The sequence below is a fragment of the Homo sapiens genome, chromosome 9 (genome assembly GCF_000001405.40).
Source record: "Homo sapiens chromosome 9, GRCh38.p14 Primary Assembly".
Lineage (NCBI taxonomy): Eukaryota > Metazoa > Chordata > Mammalia > Primates > Hominidae > Homo > Homo sapiens.
Genome location: NC_000009.12, coordinates 87,461,904 through 87,484,146, shown reverse-complemented (window position 1 = coordinate 87,484,146; position 22,243 = coordinate 87,461,904). Strand labels below are relative to the sequence as shown.

At 43.6% G+C, this 22,243-nt stretch overlaps 2 annotated features.

Annotated features, from left to right (window-relative positions):
* Positions 18,211 to 18,260: an enhancer, noted in NCBI's record as "active region_28519". NCBI's record gives its function as "activates an Ori minimal core promoter by ATAC-STARR-seq in GM12878 lymphoblastoid cells {active_cell/tissue: GM12878}" and the evidence as "EXISTENCE:reporter gene assay evidence [ECO:0000049][PMID:35858748]".
* Positions 19,102 to 19,341: an enhancer, noted in NCBI's record as "active region_28518". NCBI's record gives its function as "activates an Ori minimal core promoter by ATAC-STARR-seq in GM12878 lymphoblastoid cells {active_cell/tissue: GM12878}" and the evidence as "EXISTENCE:reporter gene assay evidence [ECO:0000049][PMID:35858748]".

Sequence of the window (22,243 nt, the reverse complement as noted above, 5' to 3'; positions counted from 1 at the left end):
ACATCTTGGTTACTTCCAAGTTTTGGTAATTATGAATAAAATTCCTTTAAACATCTGTGTGCAGGTTTTTTGTATGGACATACATTTTCAAATCCTTTGGGTAAATACCATAAACCTTGATTACTGGATCCTAGGGTAAGACTATGTTTGGTGCACAAGAAACTGCCAATCTGTCTTCCACAGAGGCTGAAGCATTTTGCATCCTCACCAGCAATGAATGAGAGTCCCTGTTGCTCCACATCCTCATCACAATTTGGTATCGTCAGCATTCTGGATTTTGACCACTGTAACAGGCAATATAGAGGTATCTCATTATTGTTTTAGTTTGCATGTCCCCGATGACATATGCTGTGGAGCATCTTTTGATAAGCTTATCTCTCCATCTTTGTCTGTTAAGGTCTCTGGTCCATTTTTTAGTGGATTGTTTATTTTCTTATTACTGTGGATCACTATTTCCTAAACTGTGTTCCATGGCGTTCCATTCTTTGACATGCTAACAGAAGTGATCTGTGAGCAAAAAAAAGCATTCCACGGTCAGATAAGCTTTGGGGAATTCTAAAGTAAAAAGAACCAAACAGTTTCTTTTCAACACAACTTCTCAGACCTTTAATAGGATATTAGGCAAGGGGGTGCTCCAAGGCAGGAATTTGGAGTGCCAGGGTTCCCTAACTTATTGAATCTTATTTTGTCCAGGGACATGAGAACAACAAGAAACACTAAATATTGGCAGACTACTTTGTATATCTTTCAGCTCCATGGTTCTGAATATAGCCACAGGGATACATTCTTGTTTATGTGCTATTTCTAAGGCAATTTAGGCAGATATAAATATAGGTAATACCACTTCTATGGAAATTATGACTGTATATACCAGAGTACTCCCAAATTTGGAAACTTTCTCTTAGAATATTAAGCATCCGTGGCTGGGTGCGGTGGCTCACTTCTGTAATCCCAGCACTTTGGGAGGCCAAGGCGGGCAGATCACGAGGTCAGGAGTTCGAGAACATCCTGGCCAACATGGTGAAACCCCGTCTCTACTAAAAATACAAAAATTAGCTGGGTGTGGTGGCAGGCGCCTGTAGTCCCAGCTTCTTGGGAGGCTGAGGCAGGAGAATCTCTCGAACCGAGGAGGCGGAGGTTGCAGCGAACCGAGATCACATGACTGCACTCCAGCCTGGTGACAGATGAGACTGCATCTTAAGAAAAAAAGAAAAAAAAAGAAAAAAAGAATATTAAGCATCCCTTAGGTCCAGCTCCTGTCTTGTTTTCTTCTTGAAACTTTTTCTCATATTTATAGTCTACATTGATCTCTCTTCTCTAAACTTCTATGACCCTTTAATTATTTCTATGCAATTAACCTCCTAAATATGTGTTCCTTTAAATAACCTTTATTATTCCATGTTTGATTGTCTCATCTCTCAAAACACACTGTTCTTCAGGAATGTGCCTTGTATTATTACTGCTCAGTGTCCCACAGCTGAGCAGAATGTTCTACATATGGGACACTTTTAAGTAAAACTGTCAAATAATTGTTTTTTTCCTAGATATTCCTTCCTTCCTTCCTTCCTTCCTTCCTTCCTTCCTTCCTTCCTTCCTTCCTTCCTCCCTCCCTCCTTCCCCCTTCCCCTCCCCTCCCTCCCTTCCTTTCTCCCTCCCTCCCTTCCTTCTCTAGCTTTTGATTAAAGATATGCTAATTGAAAACATAACAGTTCTATTTTCAGAGAGGATCACAGTAGTGCTAAATTAGATCCATTGGCTTCTAAAACTCACTGCAAGCTGTTTAAGAGCACCAATGCATAGGTGTTCCTGAAGGTGCAAACTTTATGGCACCTTTAAGTTATGCACCGTGACAAATTTTCCCCATGACCAATAAGCTGTGCACCTGCCGAGAAGCAGAGAAAAATGTATTTAATGATGACTAAATGCATTGTATTTTGACAGTGAAATAAACCATTTAAAAATATGATCGCAGCAAGGCAGACTTCTAAGCAGCATTGCAAATGTTTAACATATCACGTCCTGCCTTTGGAGTGTTCTGTAATATTAAATAGGATTAGCCAGGTGGATTTCTCAATATTCTGATAACAAGGCAGAGGCAACCAAATATTGTTAAAATCTGTCATCAGGTAAACCCAGGCCTTTCAATCTTCTAGCTATAGAGAACTGTGAGTTCTGTACAAATGGTAACCTAGAAACAGAAGCAACCAAAATACTTGAATTAAAATGATTCACATGATTGGGGAAAACTCAATACATGCTTTTGACCGAGGACAATCACTTTTAAAAGGAATTGCAAAATGTGCTAAATATAATTTAGTTGTACTCTGAAAACAAATAAATTACAAGAAAGCTTTTTTAAAATTTTTATTTTTAGACAGGGTCTCACTGTGCTGCCCAGGCTAGAGTGCAGTGGCTTAATCACAGCTCACTGTAGCCTGTGGGAGATCAACCTTGATCTCCCACCTCAGCTGCCCGAGTAGTTGGGATCACAGGTGCATACCACTATGCCTGGCTAATTAAAAAAAATTTTTTTTGTAGAGACAGGGTCTTGCTATGTTGCTCAAGCTGATCTTGAACTCGTGGCTTCAAGCAATCCTCTCACCTTGGCCTCCCAAAGTGCTGGGACTACAGGCATGAGCCACCACACAGGGCCAAGCTTTCTTTTAAAGAAAAGATTTGTAGAATTTTCTTCAAAGTGATATAGAGAGTGCTCTTGGAATTCTTGAAAGAGAGTACATATTGATGTGTGTGATAGAACATAACATCTTGTATTTAATTTATGGTATGTGTATCCTCTTAAAATCTTCCAAGTGTGGCTGAATGAGTTGTAGGAGAAATGGCAGAATTAACATCCTCTCAATGGCTGCTATGATAGTTTTGTTTAAAATAATTGTTTACAATTTTGTGTTGAAGGGCAATGTCTAATGCAATGACATGCAAGAAACAGTTTTTTAAAAACCACTTTATTGAGGTCTGGTTGACATAAAAAGCTGTACATGGGTAATATGTACATCTCAATAAGTTTGGGGATAAGCATACATCTCTGAAACCATTACCACACATGAAGGCCAAAAATAGAGGATGAGGCTGGGTGTGGTGGCTCACGCCTGTAATCCTAGCACTTTGGTAGGCTGATGTGGGCGGATCACGAGGTCAGGAGATCAAGACCATCCTGGCTAAGACGGTGAAACCCCGTCTCCACTAAAAATACAAAAAAATTAGCCGGGCGTGGTGGTGGGTGCCTGTAGTCCCAGCTACTTGGGAGGCTGAGGCAGGAAAATGGCCTGAACCCGGGAGGCGGAGCTTGCAGTGAGCCGAGATCGCGCCACTGCACTCCAACCTGGGCGACAAAGCAAGACTCCATCTCAAAAAAAAAAAAAAAAAAAAAAAAAGAGCATGATGCATTTTTTTTATAAGCTTTCATCGTCTTATTTAACACAGGATGTGTTTATCCTGGAGCAAGGCCATTAATTAAGTACCTGAAAATAGACAGCAAGATGCCGCTTTGCAAGGACATTATTCAATGGTTATAAACACGCAAATACCCTAATAAAGCATTTGTTAATTGGCACTGAAGGGTTATGCTTTGCCTATTATAAATAGGATGTGACCTCAAAGAGGTCATGTGAGGATCTAGCAATGGAAGTTTTCAATTGGTCCCTTTGCCTTTATGTATATAATTTCCCATTGTCCTGCCTTCCCCTGGAGGTGTCCAAACCAGTATTTACAGGGATGGGGATGTGATCCACCACTTAATTTTAATGGACAAACATATATGAGTTACATTTATGCTTTGGTCCCACGATAAGAAGATATGATTACCTAGGCGGACATTAAGTTTCTTTTCTAACATCACCTCTTGCAGTCTCATGTTTTATTAACAGTTATGACTGCTGAGGTCTTAACTTTCCCTGTTTCATGTTTTCTTCAACAAGACTCCTGTTTAATCCGGCAGGCAGAACATGAGGGGAGACTTCCTTGGAGCTGTCTCCAAAGGTTGTCCCGAGTGACAGAATGCTGTATTTGGTTTGGTTAAAAATTAAATGCCATGTCATTGTCAAAGTGGCAACATGACCTCACCACCTTCACAATGTGGGTGAATCTCTAAAAACTGGTGGTCCCTTAACATTGGTGAACAAGAGAAGTGAAAGGGGAAGTGAAGAAAGTACTACTGGAGTCGTCTTCCTGGGCTAAGAATGGTCACGTGGCCAAGGAAACTTGCAGTGGCCCAGCCACCACAGAAACCACACACTCCTGGGTGCTCTCCTGCCTGGTGTTACTCATGGCTCCAGAGTCCTGGGGGAGAGGGGAGAGAGAGAGATGCACTCTGATATCAGCTATGCTGTAAGAATCTCAGCCCGGAGCGGTGGCTCATGCCTATAATCCCAGGACTTTAGGAGGCCGAGGTGGGTGGATTACTTGAGGTCAGGAGTTTGAGACCAGCCTGGCCAATAGGGTGAAACCCCGTCTCCACTAAAAATACAAAACCGGCTGGGCGCAGTGGCTCACGCCTGTAATCCCAGCACTTTGGGAGGCCGAAGCGGGTGGATCATGAGGTCAGGAGATCGAGACCATCCTGGCTAACACGGTGAAACCCCGTCTCTACTAAAAATACAAAAAATTAGCCAGGCGTGGTGGCGGGCACCTGTAGTCCCAGCTACTCGGGAGGCTGAGGCAGGAGAATGGCGTGAACCCGGGAGGCAGAGCTTGCAGTGAGCCGAGATCCTGCCACTGCATGCCAGCCTGGGCAACAGAGCGAGACTCTATCTCAAAAAAAAAAAAAAAAAAATACAAAACCTAGCTGAGCATGGTGGTACACCCCTGTAATCCCAGCTACTCGGGAGGCTGAGGCAGGAGAATCACTTGAACCCAGGAGGCGGAGGTTGCAGTGAGCCAAGATCATGCCACTGCACTCCAGCCTGGGCAAAAAGCGAGACTCCATCTCAAAAAAATTAAAAAAGAAAAAAGAATCTATCATATTCATCTACAGATAACATTTTTATATATAAACATTCTAGGGGCAGAACTAACAAAATAGAATCATATCTATGCAAAGGCTTTTGTAAAATGTAAGGTATCCCGCATTTGCAAACTGCAGCTAATTACTTACCTTTACTCCTGCCGTCTCCTGTCTTCTCCATCTCCTTAAAGCTGGTAAAACTAGGATACTCCCCCTTCACCTCCTCTCTCACACCCCCACTCCAGCACCAGGCTGGGCTGCACTCCCTGAACTGTGAGTCTGTGACCCGGGCGGTCCTGCTGGGCTTCCAGGGGCTTCCCTGAGCTTCCTGGTTATCAAACTGACCTAGGAGAGGGTGCAGCAGAGCACGGGCCACACGCGACCCCTCTAGCACCCAAAGCCCCCAGGTTGGCTCCTGCTCTGTGTGGGCTGGCCCTTTGACAGCCTCGCCTTCAGTCTTATTTGCATTCTGTTGTGAAGCAAAGATTCATCTTCCAGGCCCTGTTCTCCCCATTGCCCCTGAAATGGGGGTCTTGCCCTGAGCCCTATCTTGGGATGGCAGCTCTGATACTCTTGCCTAGTTTTTCAAAGCCCTGCTCCCAGGAGAGGGAGATGTTTATTTTCCTGGGATGGTGCTGTGGTGTGGCCCCTAACCCAGGTCCCCTTCAGGGATTGCAGGCTTCACTTCCTCAGCTAGCTGTGGGAAGTGCTCTTGGGACAACACCCTTAGCTGTCAGCCCACTGTGGGACTTGCCCCAGCTGAAGAGAGCCTTCTGGCCCAAGGCCAGGTCCCCTAGCTGGAGCAGGCTGCATCCACTGGAGGTGGTCTCCTGAATTTGACACAACTCTGAATGGGTTATCGCAGCTCTAAAGCTCCTGGAGGGGTTGTCTGTAGCCTTCATCATGGCTGCTCCACTTTGCCCTCTGCCAATCCTATCTCCTGTCCTTCCCTTCCTCAAGTATTAATCCCAAGGGCACTCACTAATTAACCTCTTGCACACCAGTCTCCCCCAGACCTTGACCTCCAGATCTTCTGAAATGACAACCTCTGCTTACCTGTGTTCACATCTTCAGAGCCACCTGGATTCCTACCTGGATTGCCCACCTGGTTGGCCACCCACTTTTCAAGTAATTCTTGAAATTAGACCGAGTTCTATTACTTTAAATATGTAGAAGAAGATAAGCGTACTGAGGTTTTATGTACAAGCTGAAGGAAGCTTTCCCCCTGCATGAAAAGCAGAAATGACAATATTTTCTAGGCCTAACAGATCTTGATGCTGTATTATAGCTATTTTTTCTCTTTTGTTGCTTTGCAACAATTTTTTTCCAAATATACTTAGAATCCACTGACTTTTCTGGACAGATAAGGAGACCCTCTCTGTCAACTTTAAACTGTTTCTGCTTAGCCTGGCTGCTCTGGTTAATAAACATACTCTGAGTTCAGGACAGGCAAGGTAAAATGCCATGTGCAAAGGCAGAACAAAACAGCAAAACAGCAGAACTGCACTGACCAACATATACAATTATTTGTCAGCTAAAAGTATAATAATTTTTTTTGAGTCGGAGTCTTGCTCCGTTGCCCAGGCTGGAGTGCAGTGGCACAGTCTTGGCTCACTGCAACCTCTGCCTCCTGGGTTCAAGCAATTCTCGTGCCTCAGCCTTCCGAGTAACTAGGATTACGGGTGCCTGCCACATGCCCAGCTAATTTCTCTATTTTTAGTAGAGATGGGGTTTCACAGCGTTGGCCAAGCTGGTCTCAAACTCCTGACCTCAGGTGATCTCCCTGCCTCGGCCTCCCAAAGTGCTGGAATTATAGGCGTGAGCCACCATGCCCAGCTAAAATAATTTTTTGAAAAAAACTGCACCAACTGTCATTTTATCTTTTCTGTAATGATCCAGAAGGCACCATGAAATCTTGAAGAATTATGAGCATCTTTTATGGAAATTCCAGTTAACGGAGATTTGGGGCTGCTGGGATACTGCCGAAACCTGCTTTTAATGCTACACAGAGAGTGAACATCTATCACATTGATATTCTTGTCTCTGTGTTTAACTTGAGCTGTTGAATTGACTTTTAAAGCCATGCACTTTTGTCTACACTCACTTGTTTGAGAGGACAGTACGTTAACTAGATAGTGGGTTCTAGTTCTACCAAAATCTTTATGAATCTGGGTCACTTTGGCACAGTGGGAGGTTGGGTTGGATGTCAAGCCCTATGTCTATGATTTCTCATAGTTTGCTACATCAGAGGAATATCATTTTTTATTTTTAGAGATAGGGTCGTGTTATGTTGCCCAGGTTGCTCTTGAACTCCTAGCCTCAAGCAATCCTCCTGCCTCAGCCTCCCAAATTGCTGGGATAACAGGGGTGAGCCACTACACCCAACAACATTTTTTTTTTTTTTGAGACTGAGTCTCGCTCTGTCGCCCAGGCCGGAGTGCAGTGGAGCGATCTCGGCTCACAGCAAGATCCACCTCCTGGGTTCACGCCATTCTCCTGCCTCAGCCTCCCGAGTAGCTGGGACTACAGGTGCCCGCCGCCACGCCTGGCTAAGTTTTTGCATTTTTAGTAGAGACGGGGTTTCACTGTGTTAGCCAGGATGGTCTCGATCTCCCGACCTCATGATCCACCTGCCTCGGCCTCCTAAAGTGCTGGGATTACAGGCGTGAGCCACTGCACCCGGCATGGGAAATCTTATTAGGGTTTTAAAGTCAGGTAGTTTTGGTGAAGAGCCTCCTGAACTTTCACCTTCCACTCTGTAGCTTATTCTAGGGAGTAGATTCATAGCTCACCTTTTGACTGGCACCTATCCTGAATGACAGACAAGGCCTATTTATCCACAGTGTTTCCCTATGGAATATTTGTGTTTATTTGTTCTGCCTCCATAAAATGTAGTTTTGAACTTCCAAGAAGAAAGAGAAAAACAAGAAAATGAAACCTCACAATTATTTAGTGGGAGTTGTACACACTGTTATGGCCACAAACTGTCTTTGCGGGCAGGATGCTTCATTTTACATTTCGGCTCCCTTCCTGTATAAACATGAGCAAATTACTGAAATTACCTATACCTCAGTTTCCTCCTTAGAAAAATGAGGATATTAGTATCTACCTCATAGGGTTTTTGTGAGTTTTAAATGTCTGTATAGCCTGGAGCCTGGCATACAATGAATATAGATTTTATTTTTATGATCTGATTTGCAATATCATGCCCATCATATAAAATTATGAGGAACTGGATGATTACTGTTATATATTGTGGAGATATAATTAAGATAAAAATAATGACAATGAAAGGGCATCATTTAATTTTAAACAATTGCTAAATGATTATGCTATATTTCCTGTTATCATCATGATCATAGAAGGGAGATAGACCTGGCATTGACTCTAGCAGGAAGGTCTAGAGAAGAGATAACAAGTGAATAGATGACAATTTTATGAGCTCAAAGTGAGCTCAGAATTCATTCCTCAGCAAAAATAGAACAGTACAGATTTCTCACATACTCTACGTTCTGAGAGGAAAAAAATAACTCACTGAGAGAAAAGGATAAAATAGTGTAGGAGTATTTCAAAGTGGTCGGGGAAAGAAAAGTCTTCTGGTTGCTCCTTTGAAGTTAGATTGAAATGAGTCTATTCCCTACCCAAGAAAAGAAGACATGATTTGCAGTGTATATTTAATTTTTGCTAAAAATATGTAGCTAAGAGAAAGCCAAGGAAATATTTTCATTTAAGAGAAGCCAACTTTGGTGTTGTTTTCTGTGTGGGTGGAAAGTGCTGTGTTTTTATTCTTGCCAATCAATAACCAAAATTCACAGTCTCAATACACATTCCCATTCAATGATTATAACCTTATCTTGGTCTTTGGGGAGGCTAATGTTCAAAGCAGTCAAGTTCTCCAAGGATAAACGTTTCTTTCTCCAGTTGATGTGTGCATTTCCCTGATGGACAACCAAGAAGTTACTTCTACTATTCTACCAACATTTTTTACTGCTTGAAATTAAGCTGCATTCCACTCGGAGGTTGCATCTGAACATAAACTAGACCCCTTGACACATTCTCCTTGGTATGTTTGGAGCAAGGCCGGAGGCATGCCACATGCTGGGGTGGACAGAGCATAAGTTTAGAGTCAGATAAGCCAGGTTCAAATCCCAGTGCTGTCACCTTACAAATGAGTAAGAGGGGATAATGATACCTATCTCATGGGGCCTTTATTAGAATTAATGAGGTCATGTATGCGTTCATTAGGGAAGTATGAGTAGGGCCATCTGGAGATTTCACACTGCCTGAATTTGAGTTCCATTTCTATCACAGTTGTGTGACATTGGAAACACTGGGGTCAGTTGTCTTTATCTATAAAGTGGGGAGAATGATAGTTCCTGCCCCATTAGGGTAGTTGAGATGATTAAAAATAAATAATAGGCCGGGCACGGTGGCTCACACCTGTAATCCCAGCATTTTGGGAGGCCGAGGCAGGTGGATCACCTGAAGTCAGGAGTTTGAGACCAGCCTGGCCAACATGGTGAAACCCCATCTCTACTGAAAATACAAAAATCAGCCAGGTGTGGTGGCAGGCACCTGTAATCCCAGGTACTCAGGAGGCAGAGGCAGGAGAATCGCTTGAATCCAGGAGGCAGAGGTTACAATGAGCTGAGACTGTGCCACTGTACTCCAGCCTGGGCAACACAGCAAGACTCTGTCTCAAAAAAAAAAAAAAGAAAAGAAAGAAAGACTATATGACAGCGTACATGTGCTTGGCTACTGTTAATCAGTATTATTTCTTTTTGGTCTTCTCTATTGAGAAGGCTTTATTTCTTTGCTCTTTTATCATGGGGATTGTTTTCAACCATCTAAGTTTCCTTGACTTTTCATTCTCCTGAACTCCTGCAGTGGTTTTTTGCACCTCTCTGACAGCACTGTTCCCGTGGAGTAGTTATTTTTATGTGTCGGCTTTGCTGGGCCACAGTATCCAGTTACTCAAACACTTATCTAGGTGTTGCCATGAAGGTAGCTTGTAGATGAGGTGAACACCTACAATAAGTTGATTTTTTTTTTTTTTGAGTCGGAGTCTCACTCTGTCACCCAGGCTGGAGTACAGTGGCACAATCTCGGCTCGCTGCATTGCTCTGCCTCCCGGGCTCACGCCATTCTCCTGCCTCAGCCTCCCGAGTAGCTGGGACTACAGGCGCCCGCCACCACACCCAGAGAATTTTTTGTATTTTTAGTGGAGACGGGGTTTCACCGTGTTAGCCAGGATGGTCTCGATCTCTTGACCTCGTGATCCACCCGCCTCGGCCTTCCAAAGAGCTGGGATTACAGGCATGAGCCACCGTGCCCGGCCTAATAAGTTGACTTTAAGTAAAGGAGATTTTCCTGGATGACATGAGTGAGCCTCATCTAGTCTGTTGAAAGTCCTAAGAGCAAAAACTGGAGTTTCTAGGAAAAGAAGAAATTCTGCCTCAGGACTGCGGTGTCAACCCCTCCCTGAGTTTCCAGCCTGCCGGCCTGCCCTGTAAATTACAAACACAGCAGCCTCCACAATTGCATGAGCCAATTCCTTAAAATAAATAAAACTTTTCTTATCTGCTGCTGCTTCTGTTTCTCTACAGTGCCCTGATAATTACATGCCACCTGCTTATTTATTATTGTGATGATTATATATTTATTTATTATTGTTTTTTACTTTGCGTGAAAACATTAGTTGTATGCATCATTTACCCTCCAGGATAGGAAGATACTGGAGGGCAGGACACATTTTATAGATTTTCATGTCTGTCCCAGTTCGTGCCTGAGGGCTGTATCTGCTCCATGGTGGAATGAGGCCATAACTTTGTGTGCCCCAAGGTCACAGCTCTATATGCTCCCTGCGTCTGAGTTCTGCTTGGCCGTTTCCACATGGGTCGGTACAGTGTTTTTATTTTTTATTTATTTATTTTTATGTATTTATGTATTTATGTATTTATTTTTGAGATGGAGTCTCGCTCTGTCTCCCAGGCTAGAGTGCAGTGGCGCGATGTTGGCTCACTGCAACCTCCACCTCCCAGGTTAAGCGATTCTCCTGCCTCAGCCTCCGTGGTAGCTGGGACTACAGGCGCGCACCACCACGCTCAGCTAATTTTTTGTATTTTTAGTAGAGATGGGGTTTCACCGTGTTAGCCAGGATAGTCTTCATCTCCTGATCTCGTGATCCACCTGCCTCAGCCTCCCAAAGTGCTGGGATTACAGGCGTGAGCCACCGCACCCCGCTTGGTACAGTGTTTTTAAAAATTTTAAATTAGTTACCAATGTTTAAAAAAAGGAATATTTCACATAAAAATTTGGGGATTAAGCATGTAAAGTCAGTAGATTTGGAAACATCGAGCCCACATTCCTTCATGGCAACAGTTGGGTGGAGTTACACGGGGGTTGTTTGTCCAGACAGTTTTTTTTTTTTTTTTTTAAGTATATGTATATTTTTAGAGACAGCTTCTTGCTGTGTCTCCCAGGCTGGAGTCCAGTGGTACAATAGCTCACTGCAGCCTTGAACTCCTGGGCTCAAGGGATCCTCCCGCCTCAGCCTCCCAAAGGGCTGGGATTACAGGCATGAGCTACCAAACATGGCCTCTGGGTTCTCTTTTAAACGTTGTGGGAAGACTGGGCATGGTGGCTGATGCCTGTAACCCCAGCACTCTTGGAAGCAGGTGGATCACTTAAGGTTAGGAGGAGTTAGAGACCAACCTTCTGGTCAACATGGTGCAACCACATCTCTACTAAAAATACAAAAATACAAAATTAGCCAGGTGTCACGGTGCATGCCTCAGCTCTTCTGGAGGCTGAAGTGGAAGAATCGCTTGAACCAGGGAGGAAGAGGTTGCAGTGAGCGGAGATGGCACCACTGTACCCCCAGCCTGGGTGAGAGCGTGAGACTCTTGTCTCAAAAGAAAACAAAACAAAAACTCCTGAAAGTTGTGGGGGCCTAACAATCTGCAGGGCCCCTAAGACTATGTGTGTGTGTATATGTATGTACTTTTTAATCTAAATTATTTATAACCTAAACATTTCATTAAATAACCTAGGTTTCTATACCACTTACATTCCAGAGGGGGAAAATAAATACTAGAGGAAAGGGCCTTGAATGTAAAATTCCAGCAATGACAGGTTGTGACAGTGTTTTGGCTCAAATCCTCCAAATGAGACCAAAGCCTTGACACAATTGAATTGTTCATGGAAACCACAGATGCATTTTTATGGTACCAAGTAGATTTAAAGTTACTGTGAAAACTCAGGGCTGCTTTGAGTTCAATCCGGCGCCAAAGCAGCCATTTCTCATTTTCTATTTGTTTACTGTTTCTTTGGTCCTATTTGCTTTGCTTCACTGTGCTTAATGAAAGGATTCTGAAGCTTCCCCTGATTCATTTCAAATTAGAACCAGACTGAATTAACCTCCAGAAATGGACCATTATGGTCAGTCTCTGTGAAATGATTTAAGACCCAGAAAAGTTATATTTTCTGAAACTAAAAACTTGAGACTCTTTTTTTTTTTTTTTAGACAGAGTCTCACTCTTTCGCCCAGGCTGGAGTGCAGTGGCACAATCTTGGCTCACTGCAAGCTCTGCCTCCCGGGTTCACGCCATTCTCCTGCCTCAGCCTCCTGAGTAGCTGGGACTACAGGTGCCCGCTGCCACGCCTGGCTAATTTTTTGTATTTTTTTTAGTGGAGACGGGGTTTCATCATGTTAGCCAAGATGGTCTCGATCTCCTGAACTCGTGATCCTCCCGCCTCGGCCTCCCAAAGTGCTGGGATTACAGGCGTGAGCCACCGTGCCTAGCCGAAACTTGAGACTCTTTATTAAAACATTAAGCAGGCACAATTTCAGGCCTGTGTGCATGTATTATGGGCAATCTAAAGACAAGTGCCAGCCACATTCCTGGGTGGGTTTGCATCATAATGGAGAAACCAGAAGAAAGAAAATTGCCTACCATCTTAGCCTAGGAGTAACTACCAGGAGATAAAGGGTCCAACAGTGATGGACCCTCCTGGTTGGACAATTCTTAATCAAGGAACACTGGGCTCATGGCTGGGAGCCTGTCCCCACATCTGTTTGGGGCCTCTAGGGTCATCAAAGAGGAGCTGACAAGGGGTTTTACTGACCATCTTGTGAGATGTGCATGACAGTGGTACCGATTTAAATTATTAGGTGATGGAATTACTGGGCTTGTTTAAAAAGAAACTATAGGCCAGGCGAGGTGGCTCATGCCTGTAATCCTAGCACTTTGGGATGCTGAGGCGGGTGGATTGCCTGAGCTCAGGAGTTCAAGACCAGCCTGGGCAACACAGTGAAATTCTGTCTCTACTAAAATACAAAAAAATTCGCTGGGTGTGGCGAAGTGCACCTGTAGTCCCAGGTACTTGGGAGGCTGAGACAGGAGAATCACTTGAACCTGGGAAGCAGAGGTTGCAGTGAGCCGAGATCCAGCCACTGCACTCCAACCTGGGTGACAGAGCGAGACTCCACACCACCCTCCACCAAGAAAAGGAACTATAGTTAGCTGTTCCTGGCTATGTCCCTGTAGGGAAGAGAAGACTTTTCCTCTACCCACTGAGGTTCATGTCAGTTTATCCATGAAATCAACTGACAACAGGCAGATTAACAGGAGAAAAGGCATATAAATTTAGTATATGCACAGAGGCATCACAGGAAAAACAAAAAAGTAGCTATCTGAAAAGCCAGTGAGATTTAGGAGCTTGTATACCCTCTTCATATGGGAGAGGGGAGGGGGGATATTGGCAATTTAGGGGAGAGTAAACGGTTTTGGGGGAAAGATGGATAGGCCCTTGGAAGAACAGATGAGAGCTGGTAGCAAAGTTTATCTGGATGTGGAACTCACTTCTAGCCTCCTCTCCTGTGATAAGACTTAATCTTCTCTGGTTGATGAAACTCCCCAGATGGGGATTGATGACAACTGAGTTTCTTCTGGAGGATCTGTCTTTAGGCAGATAAGAGGAGTTTAGAGAAAGACTGCATTTTTATTTTTCAAGTGCCTTCAGCTGAAGGCAATCAATATACCAAAGCAGTATATTTGGGGGTGGCATTTTCTGAACTCCTTTGCTCCTGTCCCCTCAGCTGTACCATTTTAGCACGTGCACCTGCTAGCACTGCTGTCTCTTTGCCTGAAGGCTTTCTCTGTCTGCTGGAGCTCACAGCACATGGTAGGACAGAAGTGCCTGGGAATGAATGCATGTGCCCCTCCCAGCAGCTTTCAACGAAGGACTAATGGGAAATGGTGTATAAACAACCTAGCTCCCAGCAGTGTGCCCCTCCCAGCAGCTTTCAATGAAGGACTAATGGGAAATGGTGTATAAACAACCTAGCTCCTTCACCATGGGTGGGGGACAGAGCTTCCAGGCACATATTTCATATTATTTCCTAAAGTTCCCAGCAGGACTAAGCCCCAACTGCCCACAATGGCAACTGTTTCCTAACATACCCTTTACTGCCCTCCTTGCCTTCCCAGCTTCACTTCTTTACTCCTCTACCAATATTCTTGGGGATCTCCTTCCAAATAGACCACTTGCACTTGAACCCCAGTCTCAGGAAAGGCCTCTAGGGGAACCCAAACCAAAATAGTGTCTATTTTCCAAGTTTCTGCTTTGTCTGTAGAATAATACTTTGCGTGACTGGGTTGTCATATGTCTGTGTTCATTCATTTATTCATTGACTCATTTTCTTTCCCCAAAAGAAACAAATATATATTGATTGAGTGCCTACTTGATGCAAAATCACTGAGCCAGCTGCTGGAAAGACAGCGGAGAACAGACATAGGCCCCGCCTCCAGAGCAGCCTGTCCTGTAGGAATACAATGTGAGCTACATATGTGATTTAAAGAAAAAGAAGAAACTCAGTATGTCCAACAGACTGCCATTTCAATGTGTGCTAGGCCTTTGAAATCCTGGGCTCATTCTCCATTTGCAGCTGTGCTCTCTTTGAACTAGCCATGGTTCAAGTGCTTAATAGTCACATGTGATGAGAGGCTACTGGATAGAACAGCCTAGTTCTTAAAGTTTACTCTAGTGAGGATGGGGGCATCAGGTTCTTTAAGAGGTGATCAAACAGTCGGCGATCGGTCACCTAAACTGTTGGTTCTCCAACTTGGTGAGCATGCAAATGGCCTGCAGAGCCAATAAGAAACATGGAGTCCAAGAGTCATGGAAATACAGGGCCTGGGCCTTCATATTTCACCAAGTTCTCCAGGTGATCAGGATACACACCAACGTCTGACAACTGCTGCTCTACTTCACTCCCTAATCTAATCTCCCCTCTGTTGGTTGTTTATGTAAGGCACTCTTTGCCATCTTGTTTGCATCTTGGATATACCTAAAAAATACGAATGCTTGGGTCTCATTCTCAAAATTACTATTTAAGTGGTAAGAAGTGAGGCCCATCTATCAAGATATTTAAGATCTCCCCAGGTGGTTATAAGACACAGCCCAATTTGAGAACAACTGGCTTAAATTATGGCAGGTAATAAAACAACACATCCTGTTTAGTTTTGTAAAATATCATTATATGTAGGGGGTGCCAGAAGGAAGACTCTTGAAGGAATGGACACATTTTCCATCCCACAAGAAGTGATGATGAATATTCTTTTTTTTTTTTTTTTTGAGATGGAGTCTTGCTCTGTCGCCCAGGCTGGAGTGCAATGGTGCAATCTTGGCTCACTGCAAGCTCCGCCTCCCGGGTTCAGGCCATTCTCCTGCCTCAGCCTCCTGAGTAGCTGGGACTACAGGTGACTGCCACCGCGCCCGGCTAATTTTTTGTATTTTTAGTAGAGACGGGGTTTCACCGTGTTAGCCAGGATGATCTCAATCTCCTGACCTTGTGATCCACCCACCTCGACCTCCCAAAGTGCTGGGATTACAGGCGTGAGCCACCGCGCCTGGCCTATTATGAATATTCTTTACATTCATTCTGTTACTGGAAAGGGGTCCCAATCCAGACCCCAAGAGAGTGTTCTCGGACTTCACACAAGAAAGAATTTGGGGTGACTCCAGAGAGCAAAGCCAAAGTAAGTTTATTAAGAAAGTAAAGGAAAAGAATGGCTACTTCATAAGCAGAGCAGAAGCATGGGGTGCTCAAATGAGTATACTCAGAGTTGCTTCTTGATCATATGCTAAACAAGGAATGGATTACTCATGAGTTTTCCAGGGAAGGATTGGGCAGTTCTGGAACTGAGGGTTCCTCCCCTTTTTAGACCATATAGACCATTTGTAAACTGCCATGGTGCTGGTGGGAGTGTCTTTTAGCATCCTAATGCATTATAATTAACATCTAATGAGCAGTGAGAATGACCAGAAGTCACTTTTGTGGCCATGTTGGTTTTGGTGGGTTTTGGCCTGCTTCTTTTTTTTTTTTTTTTTTTTTTTTTTTTGAGACCAAGTCTCGCTCCGTCCCCCAGGTTGGAGTACAGTGGGACAATCTTGGCTCACTGCAACCTCCACCTTCCAGGTTCAAGCGATTCTTGTGCCTCAGCCTCCCAAGTAGCTGGGATTACAGATGTGTGCCACCATGCCAGGTTAATTTTTGTATTTTTAGTAGAGACTGGGTTTCACCATATTGGCCAGGCTGGTCTCGAACTCCCAACCTCAGTGATTCTCTTGCCTCAGACTCCCAAAGCGCTGGGATTCCAGGCATGAGCCACCACGTCGGCCTTTTGGCCTGCTTCTTTACTGCAACCTGTTTTATCAGCAAGGTGTTTGTGACCTGTATCTTATGCTGATCTTCTATCTCATCCTATGACTAAGAAGGCCTAACCTCCTGGAAATGCAGCCCAGTAGGTTTCAGCCTCCTTTTACCCAGTCCCTAGTCAAGATGGAGTTGCTGTGGTTCGAATGCCTCTGACATTTCTGCTCATCTCTGTTTTCTGACTTTTCTTTCCCAAGAGTGCATTACATTTGAAATAAAGATCGTAAAACAAAAGCCAATTAAAGAAACAATATAGAAGTTGGATCTAGGTTTATCTGAAATTTTTGTTTAGAAAAACCCTTAGGAAATTGGTGTGGCCAGTGAGCAGGCTTTTGAAGACTAGGCCAAATGTACGGCAGGGGGGCCTGACTACTGTCATTCCTGGACCAGGTCAGGTGGGCCTGTTGAGGTCCTGAAACCTACTCAGCACCTGAGTGCAAATGCATGATGCTTTTTGCTGGGTTTGGGCTGTTAGGAATAGAAAAGAAAAAAAAAATCCCGGCTGGGCACGGTGGCTACTGCCTGTAATCCCAGCACTTTGGGAGGCCAAGGTAGGCGGATCACTCGAGGTCAGGAATTTGAGACTATCTTGGCCAACATGGTAAAAACCCATCTCTACTAAAAATACAAAAATTAGCCGGGTGTGGCGGCACACGCCTGTAATCCCAGCTACTAGGGAGGCTGAGGCAGGAGAACTGCTTGAACTCAGAAGGCAGAGGTTGCAGTGAGCCGAGATCATGCCACTGCATGACAGAGCCAGACTCCGTCTCAAAAAAAAGAAAAAAAAAAAAAAATCTAAAATGTCAGGCATTGGCTTCAGGCATAAACCAGCTTGCATTTAAATTAAATATTGAGTGACTTTAAGGCTATAAACATTGATCTTCTCTTAGACCAGTCACATTTATGTCTGAGTAGTCAAATTTAGAGGTGCTAAAGTTTGTGTGTTTATGTAGATAATCCCCCATGCTTGACATCGATCTGAGCGCATTAGTGAGCCCAACCATTTATTATCGAAATGGAGCCAGGTCTCCTATTTTAGCTGCTCTGTAACACGGTGTTTCAGTGTATTCATGGAAGTCACATAAGGTGTTTTTTAAAGTTCACTTTGAAAAATTAAAATGAAATTAAGCTTAAACTGTTGCTATCTTTTAAAAAGTTGTCCAACAGCGACTTGATCTGGTCTTATGGAAATGACATATTTAAACCAGAGGAAGGGACAATATTTTCATTGTTTGGTTTTTGTGTCTTCGTTGGTTTTCAGAGCTATGTTTATGTGTTGCATTTTGCATTCCCTTCACGGTGAACTTGACCTGAAAATTTTTAGGGCAGCCAGGTGTTAAACTTTTTTTAGCACCATGCAAACTGGTTTCATTCTTCCAAAACAGGTTTTTGCTTTGGAGTATAAAATGACAAGGGAAATGCATGTAGCCAAGATCCTTATTTGAGCTCATTCGCACTGGTCTAGACCCGTCCAGTGAGCTGGGGGCAGGTCTTGAAGGTGTGATTTGCATGAGCTGATTTGCATCAGGCCTGTGTATTGTTAAATAAAAGATAAGGATGGTTATCTTGGCCTGGAGGAAAGAGAGAATTGGGAGGGTGTTTTGGTGCTGGGTCTCCACCTTCCTGGCTCTGGTGGAGACATTGGTGCAGACTGCCAATTTAAAATAGTCAAAAAGGTCAGAATCTAGTTTAAAGAGAGTTTATTCAAGTGCAAAAGTTAAGGACTGCAGCTGAGAAGACACTTCCAAGTTGCCTTGGGGAGTGCTTCGAAGAACAAAAGAGAGGCTCACATTTTGTTTTGTTTTGTTTTGTTTTTGTTTTTGTTTTTGTTTTTGAGATGGAGTCTCGCTCTGTTGCCTAGGCTGGAGTGCAGTGGCACTATCTCGGCTCACTGCAAGCTCCGCCTCCCAGGTTCACGCCATCCTCCTGCCTCAGCCTCCCTAGTAGCTGGGACTACAGGCACCCGCCACCACACCGGCTAATTTTTTTTTTTTTTGTATTTTTAGTAGAGACGGGGTTTCACCGTGTTAGCCATGATGGTCTCGATCTCCTGACCTCGTGATCCGCCCGCCTCCGCCTTCCAAAGTGCTGGGATTACAGGCGGAGGCTCACATTTTTTAATGAAAAAAAAAAATCAGGAGAAGGGGCTGATTACTAAAGTTGTTTGTCAGGAATTCTCATTGGTTTACAGAAATAACATTGGTTAGTGATTGGCTATACACTTTTCAACTATAGAGTGTATGGCATTTTATGACTACTTGGCCTCAGGCTCTAAGAGGTAATTATTTAGCTCAAAGGGGAGTGAGATGACTGCTGTTAAATTTAAATGTGTTTCTGGGCCTGATAATTTGAGAGACTTGCATTCCTCAGATAAAAGATTTTTCTTTCTCAAGACTCAGCTCCCTTCAGCTTCAGGTGACAAATTGTGGCCCAGTATCAGCCAAGCTTTCTCCCCAGTCTCCAGAGAATGCATCACCAGCTATCATTGAGGCTTGACACCATTGGGAGCATCCAAGAGAGTCTTGGGAATGGACTTTGACCTTCCTCTGATGGGCACCGGCAGCAAGGACAAGGTCCCCAAGTATCATCAGAAAGCAAAGAAAACACCAAACGGAAAGGAAGAGTGTGGGGTGCACCCCCTTGGAGAATGTGGCTGAGGCCAGATGTGAGAGTTCACAGGAGACACCAGCAGAAACACAGACATAACTTGTGACATTTTTCAGTGTTCTAAGACATGTCAGTTCAAGACTGGGCTTTCCCCATTCAACCACTCTACTCACACTCATGTGTGTTATAGACAAATTTAAACTGGAATCTCTTTGATTCCAGAAAGTTGATTTACATTGCAACAGAAATGCTTGTTTAGCTGAATAGGTCCCTAGGTAGTAAAGGGACTCCACACAGCATTATTTCTAGTGAAGTCTTTGATTCACAGAAAGATTCTTAGAAATCTTGCATCAGAGTGTAACAATAAAAAAGAAACTGTTCGGATTTTCATGCAGGAAATGCTCTTGGCCAGCAATCACCCTCAGGAAATTTTCAGAAATGCACGTGATGCCCAGAGAAGTGTTGTTTTGGGAATACCTAGTAATTAGTTCCAAAATCTTACCAAACAGCAGCACAGGCCTATAATTTCTATGTAAACTCAGCTCACTGTTTGAGTCATACTATGTTTCTTTTTTAGCTCAAGATTTGTCATCCACTACAAAAACCTCCTTTCGCTATACAAAATAGACAGCCACTCGAAATTGCTGGAGGGAAAAGCCAGTTTGCACAATGGGGGTGGCATGTTTGGGTGAGAAAACCAGAGACTCGGAGTCAGGAAATGCCAGTTCCTCCCTTCACTCCTGTGACCTAGAGCAAGCACCTTCACCCTTGAGAGTCTGGCCTTTCTTTCTTTCTTTTTTTCTTTTTTTTGAGATGGAGTCTCACTCTGTCACCTAGGCTGGACTGCAGTGGCGCGATCTCAGCTCGCTGCAACCTCCGTCCTCTGGGTTCAAGCGATTCTCCTGCCTCAGCCTCCCGAGTAGCTGGGATTACAGGCACCTGCCACCATGCCAGGCTAATTTTAATATTTTTAGTAGAGACGGGGTGTCACCATCTTGGCCAGGCTGGTCTTGAATTCCTGACCTCGTGATCCACCCACCTTGGCCTCCCAAAGTGCTGGGAATGTGTGAGCCACCACGCCTGGCCTGGCCTTCCTTTCTTGTAAAATGAGAGGGTTAAGTCCAGGTTCGTAGTCAATAACTACGTGTTCAGTAACAGATTCGTACCAGGGATTTCCACAAACTTTCCCCAACCCAATCACCACCACTTCCTTTTAGGACTAAGATTTTCAAGGTCTGCTTCAGTCTTCATAGCTTTACATGTCTGGGAACTTATGTCTTAAATTTTTTTGTAAGAAAATTATCCTGTGTGTAATGGAAATGGAAATATTTCTCTTGCTAACCTGATTTCAACCTGCTGAATATAAATATTCACATAACACAGCATTTATAAAATAAAAATCACTCATAAGTATATCTTTCAGCAGTAACCACAGTTCATATTTTGGTGTGGCAGCATCTAAACGTGTTTCTGTGGAGATCCACACACATTCATTTATCCTAGGGTATTTTCAGAAGTCTTCCTAGTCTCCATCTGCTTTTTTTTCTTGTTTGCCACATGTTATATGGATATCTTTCCATGTCAATATGAGATCGTTTAATGTCAAGAAATACAGATGAAGTCATCATTTTCATGTTCAATGGTTTGAGAACATTCCATCATGTAGTTAAATTATAATTTCTATAACTCTTCCCTATTGGTGGACATTGAGGTTGGTTCCATTTTTTTTTTTTTTTTGAGACGGAGTCTCGCTCTGTTGCCAAGCTGAAGTGCAGTAGTGTGATCTGGGCTCACCGTAACCTCCGCCTCCAGGTTCAAGCGATACTCCTGCCTCAGCCTCCTGAGTAGCTGGGACTACAGGTGTGTGCCACCATGCCTGGCTCATTTTTTGTATTTTTAGTAGAGATGGGGTTTCACCATGTTGGCCAGGTTGGTCTCGAACTCCAGACCTCATGATCCGCCTGCCTCAGCCTCTCAAAGTGCTGGGATTACAGGCATGAGCCACCAAGCCTGGCCTTTTTTTTTTTTTTTTTTTTTTAATGAAAACAAAGCTAAGAGGCCAGGCTTGGTGCTCATGCCTGTAATTCCAGCACTTTGGGAGGCCGAGGCGGGCAGATCACTTGAGGTCAGGAGTTTGAGACCAGGCTGGCCAACATGGTGAAACCCTGTCTCTACTAAATAAACAAAAAATTAGCTGGGCGTGGTGGCGGGCACCTGTAATCCCAGCTACTCATGAGTGTTAGGCACGAGAATGGCTTGAACCCAGGAGGCGGAGGTTGCAGTGATCCGAGATCGAGCCACTGCACTCCAGCCTGGGTGAAACAAAGACTCTGTCTCAAAAAAAAAAAAAAAAAAAAAAGCTAGTGTAAATATCATTGTTTATTCAATGCTTATTTTTCTAAACTCTAGCTATATTGGCATTATCATCCTTTGAGATTTTTATAAATCATCAAGCAAAAGATGGCATCTTGTTTTATTTTTATTTCTTGGACTACTAGCAAAATTGAACATTCTTTTATGTGTCTATTGAGTATTTTACTTTTTTCATTTGTAAACTGGCTATCTATACCTATTTCCCATTGTTTTATTGAAGTGTGAATATTTTTTTCCTCATTGCTTTGTAAAGATTACTTCTATATTAAGGGTATTCTTATGAGTTTTAATACAGACCATATACCTTCATTCTCAAATTACTCTCATTTTCAGTTAAAGTTCAATTCACCCATTAGCATATCATTTATATATTTTTTATTACTTTTATTTTTATTTTATTATTTTTTTAGATAGAATCTTGCTCTGTCGCCCAAGCTGGAGTGCAGTGGTTCAATCTCGGTTCACTGTAACTTCTGCCTCCTGGGTTCAAGCGATTCTCCTGCCTCAGCTTCCCAAATAGCTGGGATTACAGGCGTGTGCCACCACGCCCAGCTAATTTTTTTGTACTTTTAATAGAAATGGGG